Here is a 7,326-nt window from a genome sequence, read left to right on the forward strand (position 1 = left end):
CATTCGTTTACATTGGATGATGATTCCTTTTGAGTCCATTCAATGATGATTCCATTCGAATTGATTCAATGATGATTCCATTCTATTACATTTAATGATGATTCCATTCGTGTCCATTCGGTGATGATTCCATTCATGTACATTCGATGATGATTCCATTCGATTCCTTTCGTTGATGATTCCGTTCGATTCTATTCAATGATGATTCCGTACAATTCCATTTGATGATGATGCCATTTGATTCCATTCGATGATGATGCCATTCAATTCCATTCGATGATGATGCCTTTCGATTCCATTCAATGATGATACCATTCGATTCCGTTCATTGATGATGCCATTCGAGTCCATTCAGTGATGATTCCATTTGAGTCCATTGGATGATGATTCCTTTCGAGTACATTCAATGATGATTCCATTCGAGTACATTCGATGGTGATTCCATTTGAGTCCATTCAATGATGATTCCATTTGAGTCCATTGCATTCCATTTGAGTCCATTCCATTCGAGCCCATCCCATTCCATTCCAATCCTCTCCAGTCCGCTCCATTCCACTACACTCCAATGAATTCTATTCCATTCCATTCCATTCCTCTCCACTCCACTCCACTCCTCTCCACTCCACTCCACTGCATTCTATTCCATTCCATTCCATTGCAATTTCATTGCACTCCATTCCATTCCACTCCACTTCACCCCACTCCTCTGCACTCCACTCCATTCCACTCCATTCCACTCCATCCCACTCCATTCCATTCCATTCCATTCCACTCCACTCAATTCCACTTCACTCCACTCCATTCCAGTCCACTCTATTCCATTCCATTCCTCTGCATTCCATTCCATTCCTTTCTTTTGAGAGTATGTCACCCAGTCACCCAGCCTGGAACGCAGTGACACAATCTCAGCTCCTATTCCATTCCATTCCATTTGATTCCATTTGATTCGATTCCATTTGATTCCAATCCATTCCTTTCGATTCAATTTGATTCCATTCCATTCCATTCCACTCCCTTCAACTCCACTCCACTCCTCTCCACTCCATTCCATTCCATTCCATTCCATTCCATTCCATTTCACTCCATTGCATTCCATTCCTTTCTTTTGAAAGGATATCACTGTGTCACCCAGGCTGGAGTGCAGTGGCACAATCTCAGCTCAGATTACATGTCAACTTTCCATTGCACTGCATTCTATTCCATTGCACTCCATTGCATTCCATTCCATTCCATTCCATTCCATTCCATTCCATTCCATTCCACTGCGTTCCACTCCACTCCACTCCACTACATTCCATTACATCCGATTCCATTCCACTGCATTCCACTCCTCTCCTCTCCAGTGCACTCCACTCCTTTCCATTCCATCCCATTCCATTCCGCTCCATTCAACTGCACTCTACTCCACCCCACTCCACTTCATTCCATTCCATTCCATCCCATTCCATTCCTCTCCATTCCACTCCACTCCACTTCACTCCACTCCACTCCACTCCAGTCCATTCCATTCCATTCCATTCCATTCCATTCCATTCCACTGCATTCCATTCCATTCCATTCTTTCGAGAGTATCTCACTCTGTCACCCAGCATGGAGTGCAGTGGCACAACCTGAAAGCCTATTCCATTCCATTCCATTCCATTCCATTCCATTCTATGCCATTCCATTCCATTCCATTCCATTCTATGCCATTCCATTCCATTCCATTCCATTCCATTCTATTCCATGCCATGCCATTCCATTCCATTCCATTCCATTCCATTCCATTCCATTCCATGCCATTCCATTCCATTCCATTCCATGCCATGCCATTCCATTCCATTCCATTCCATGCCATTCCATTCCATTCCATTCCATGCCATGCCATTGCATTCCACTCCTTTCTTTTGACAGGATCTCCCTCTGTCACACAGGCTGTAGTGCAGTGGCACAATCTTAGCACACATTTCTCCATTACGTTCTGTTCCGTTCCACTCCACTCTACTACATTGCATTACATCCGATTCCATTCCACTCCATTCCACTCCTCTCCACTCCATTGCAGTCCACTCCACTCCATTTCACTCCATCCCATTCCATTCTGCTCCATTCCACTGCACTCCACTCCACGCCACTCCACTTTATTTCATTTCATTCCATCCCATTCCATTCCTCTCCATTCCACTCCACTCCACTTCACTCCACTCCACTCCAGTCCACTCCATTCCATTCTATACCATTCCATTCCACTGCATTCCATTCCATTCCTTTCTTTCAAGAGTATCTCACTGTCATCCAGCCTGGAGCGCAGTGGCACAATCTCAGCTCACATTTCATTTCACCATTCCATTCCATTCCATTCCATTCCATTCCATTCCACTCCACTCCACTCCACTCCACCCCACTCTAAACCATTCCACTCCACTCCTCTCCATTCCACTCCACTCCACTCCTTTCCATTCCATCCCATTCCAGTCATTTCCACTCCACTTCACTCCACTCCATTCAATTCCATTCCACTCTATTCTATTCCATTCCTTTCTTTTGACAGGATCTCACTCTGTCACCCAGGCTGGTGTGCAATGGCACAATCTCAGCTCACATTTCATTTCACCATTCCATTCCATTCCATTCCATTCCATTCCACTGCACTCCACTCCACTCAATTCCACTGCACTCCATTCCACTCCATGCCAGTCCAGCTCCACTCCTTTCTGTCCCATCCCATTCCATTCCACTCCTTTCCACTCCACTCCACTCCAGTCCACTACATTCTATTCCATTCCATTCCCCTGCATTCCATTCCATTCATTTCTTTTGAGAGTATCTCACTCTGTCACCCAGCATGGAGCACAGTGGCACAACCTGAGCACGCTTATTCCATTCCATTCCATTCCATCCCATTCCATTCCATGCTTGCCATGCCATGCCATGCCATTCCATTCCATTCCAATCCTTTCTTTCGATAGGATCTCCCTCTTTCACACAGGCTGTAGTGCAGTGGCACAATCTCAGCACACATTCCTCCATTACGTTCCGTTCCATTCTGTTCCTTTCCATTCCATTCCGTTCCACTCCAATCCACTCCACTCCACTACATTCCATTACATCTGATTCCATTCCACTCCTCTCCACTCCACTGCAGTCCACTCCACTCCATTTCACTCCATCCCATTCCATTCTGCTCCATTCCACTGCACTCCACTTCATTTCACTCCATCCCATTCCACTCCGCTCCATTCCACTGCACTCCACTTCATTTCATTCCATTCCATTCCATTCCATTCTTCTCCATTCCACTCCACTCCACTTCACTCTACTCCATACAACTCCAGTCCACTCCATTCCATTCCATACCATTCCATTCTGCTGCATTCCATTCCATTCCTTTCTTTCAAGAGTGTCTCACTCTGTCACCCAGCCTGGAGCACAGTGGCACAATCTCAGCTCACATTTCATTTCACCATTCCATTCCATTCCATTCCATTCCACTCCACTCCACTCCATTCGAGTCCACTCAACTCCTTTCCATTCCATCCCATTCCATTTCACTCATTTCCACTCCACTCCACTCCATTCCATTCCATTCCATTCCTTTCTTTTGACAGGATCTCACTCTGTCACCCAGGCTGGTGTGCAGTGGCACAATCTCAGCTCACATTTCATTTTACCATTCCATTCCATTCCATTCCATTCCATTCCACTGTGCTCTACTCCACTCCACTCAATTCCACTGCGCTCCACTCCACTCCATTCCAGTCCACTCCACTCCTTTCAGTTCCATCCCATTCCATTCCACTCCTTTCCACTCCACTCTACTCCCTCCATTCCACTCCATTCCATTCCATTCCACTGCATTCCATTCTCTTCCTTCCTTTTGACAGGATCTGACACTGTAACACAGGCTGTAGTGCAGTGGCACAATCTCAGCTCCCATTTCATTTCACCATTCAATTACATTCTATTCTGTACCATTATGTTTGATTCCATTCCATTCCTTTCCATTATTTTCCATTCTATTCCACTCCAATTCACTCCACTCCACTCCATTCCATTCCATTCCATTCTACTCCACTTCACTCCACTCCCCTCTTCTCCATTCCATTCCATCCCAATCCATTCCACTCCTTTCCACTCCACTCCATCCCATTCCACTCCACTCCATGCCACTCCGCTCCACTCCACTCCACTCCATTCCATTCCATTCCATTCCATTCCACTCCAATCCACACACATCACAAAGTTGTTTCTCAGAATGCTTCTGTTTAGTTTTTATGAGAGGATATTTCCTTATACTCAGGAAGCTGTAATGTGCTCCAAGGTTCCCTCTGCAGAATCTATTAAAAGACAATATCCAAACTACTCAGTCAAAAGAAAGTTTCAACCCTGTTAGATGAATGCACACATCACAAAGAAGTTTCTCAGAATGCTTCTGTCTGGTTATTATGTGAAGATACTTCCTTTTCCACAATAGGCCTCAAGAGCTCCAAATATCCACTTGCAGATTCCACAAAAAGAGTGTTTCAAAACTGCTCAATCAAAAGAACGGTTCAGCTCTGTCAGATGAATGCACACATCACAAAGAAGTTTCTCAGAATGCTTCTGTCTAATTTTTATGTGAAGATATTTCCTTTTCCACAATAGGCCACAAAGTGCTCCAAATATCCACTTGCAGATTATACAAAAAGAGTGTTTCCAAGCTGCTCAAAAAAAAGAAAGGTTCAGGTCTGTGAGATGAATGTACACAGCAGAAAGAAATTTATCAGAATTCTTCTGCCTAGTTTTTTTGCGACGATATTTCCTTTTCCACTAAAGTCCTCATAGCACTCCGAATGTCCACTTACAGATTCTACAAAAAGTGTGTTTCAAAACACCTCAAACAAAAGAAAAGTTCAACTCTGTGAGTTGAATGCACACATCACAAAGAAGCTTCTCAGAATGCTTCTGTCTAGTTCTTAAGTGAAGATATTTCCTTTTCCACCATAGGCTTCAAAGCACTCCTTAAGTCTCATGTCCTCCTGCAGATTCTAGAAAAAGAGAGTTTACAAACTACTCCAATCAAAAGAAAGGTTCAATTCAGTGGGAGGAATGCAAACATCCCAAAGAATTTTGTCTGAGTGATTCTGTGTAGTTTTTATGTGAAGATATTTCCTTTTCCACCATAGGCCTTAAAGCACTCCAAATGTCCTCCTGCAGATAGTACAAAAAGGGTGCTTCAAAACTGCTCAATCAAATGTAAGGTTCAACTCTGTGAGATAAATGAACATAACACAAAGCGTTTTCTCACAATGATTCCGTCTAGTTTTTTGTGAAGATATTTCCTTTTCCACCATGGGACTCCAGGCTCTCCAAACATACACTTGCAGATTCTACAAAAACAGTGTTTCAAAACTGCTTAATCGAAAGAAAGGTTCAACTTTGTGAGATGCATGCACACATCACAAAGAAATTTCTCAGAATGATTCTGTCCAGTTTTTATGTGAAAATATTTCCTTTTCCAACATAGGAAATCCCTCGAAATGTCCAATTGCAGATTCTATAAAAAGAGGGTTTCAAAACACCTCAATCAAAAGAAAGTTTCAATTATGTGAAATGAATGCACACATCACAAAGAAGTTTCTCAGAATGCTTCTGTCTAGTCCTTAAGCGAAGATATTTCCTTTTCCACCATAGGCCTCACAGTGCTTCAAATGTCCACTTGCAGATTCCACAAAAAAAAGTGTTTCAAAGCTGATCAATCAAAAGAAAGGTTCAACTCTGTGACATGAATGCACATATCACAAAGAAGTTTGTCAGAATGCTTCTGTCTAGTTTTTATTTGAAGATATTGCCTTTTCCACCATAGGCCTCAAAGTACTCCAAATATCCATATTCAGATAGTACAAAAAGGGTGTTTCAAAACTGTTCAATCAAATGTAAGGTCCAACTCTGTGAGATGAATGCACATATCACAAAGAAGTTCTTCAGAATTCTTCTGTCTAGTTTTTATGTGAAGATATTTCCTTTTCAACCAGAGGCCTCAAAGTGCTCCAAATGTCCACTTGCAGATTCTACAAAAAGAGTGTTACAAAACTGCTCAATCAAAAGAAAGTTTCAAGTGCGTGAGATGAATGCACACATCACAAAGAATTTTCTCAGAATGATTTTGTCTAGTTTTTATGTGAAGATATTTTCCTTTCCACCATTGGCCTCAAAGCGCTCCAAATGTACACTTGTAGATTCTACAAAAAGGGTGTTTGAAAACTGCTCAACGAAAAGAAATGTTCACTCTGTGAGATGAATGCACCCATCAGAAAGAAGTTTTTCAGAATGTTTCTGTATACTTTTTATGTGAATATATTTCCTTTTCCAACATAGGTCACAAAGCCCTCCAAATGTCGAATTGTAGATTCTACAAAAAGAGTATTTTAAAACTGCTCAAGCAAAAGAAATGTTCAGCTCTGTGAAATGAATGCACACATCAGAAAGAAGGTCATCAGAATGCTTCTGTCTAGTTTTTATGTGAAGCTATTTCCTTTTCCCCAATACTCCTCAAAGCGCTCCAAATGTCCACTGGCAGATTCTACAAAAAGAGAGTTTCAAAACTCCTCAATCAAAAGAAAGGTTCAACTCTGTGTGATGAATGCACACAGCACATAGTAATTTGTCAGAATGCTTCTGTCTAGTTTTTATGTGAAGACTTTTCCTTTTGCACCATAGGCCTCAAAGCACTCCAAATTTCACAGAGTTCAAACTTTGTTTTGATTGAGCAGCTTTGAAACACTCTTTTTGTAGAATCTGTAAGTGGATATTTGGAGCACTTTGAGGCATGTGGTGGAAAAGGAAGTATCTTCACAGAAAAACTAGACAGAAGCATTCAGACAAACTTCTTTGTGGTGTATGTATTCATCTCACACAGTTGAAATTTTCTTTTGATTGAGCAGCTTTGAAACACTCTTTTTGTAGAATCTGCAAGTGGACTTTTGGAGCGCTTTGAGGCCTATGGTGGAAAAGGAAATAGCTTCACATAAAAACTAGACAGAAGCATTCTGACAATTTCTTTGTGAATTGTGCATTCATCTCACAGAGTTGAATCTTTCTTCTGATTGAACAGCTTTGAAACACTCTTTTTGTAGAATCTGCAAGTGGACATTTGGAGCACTTTGTGACCTATGGTGGAAAAGGAAATATCTTCACATAAAAACTAGACAGAAGCATTCTGACAAACTACTTTGTGATGTGTGCATTCATCTCGCAGGGTTGAACCTCACTTTTCATTGAGCAGTTTTGAAACACTCTTTTTGTAGAATCTTCAATTGGATATTTGGAGCTTTTTGAGGCCTGTGGTGGATAACGAAATATCTTCAT

General features: G+C 41.9%; 2 annotated features.

The window, feature by feature from the left end:
* Window positions 2,241-2,864: an enhancer, noted in NCBI's record as "OCT4-NANOG hESC enhancer chr16:33900354-33900977 (GRCh37/hg19 assembly coordinates)". NCBI's record gives its function as "activates a minimal SCP1, AML or CMV promoter by ChIP-STARR-seq in naive H9 embryonic stem cells {active_cell/tissue: H9 hESC(naive)}" and the evidence as "EXISTENCE:reporter gene assay evidence [ECO:0000049][PMID:30033119]".
* Window positions 3,194-4,034: an enhancer, noted in NCBI's record as "OCT4-NANOG hESC enhancer chr16:33901307-33902147 (GRCh37/hg19 assembly coordinates)". NCBI's record gives its function as "activates a minimal SCP1, AML or CMV promoter by ChIP-STARR-seq in naive H9 embryonic stem cells {active_cell/tissue: H9 hESC(naive)}" and the evidence as "EXISTENCE:reporter gene assay evidence [ECO:0000049][PMID:30033119]".

This window comes from Homo sapiens, chromosome 16 (assembly GCF_000001405.40).
Source record: "Homo sapiens chromosome 16, GRCh38.p14 Primary Assembly".
Classification (NCBI taxonomy): domain Eukaryota; kingdom Metazoa; phylum Chordata; class Mammalia; order Primates; family Hominidae; genus Homo; species Homo sapiens.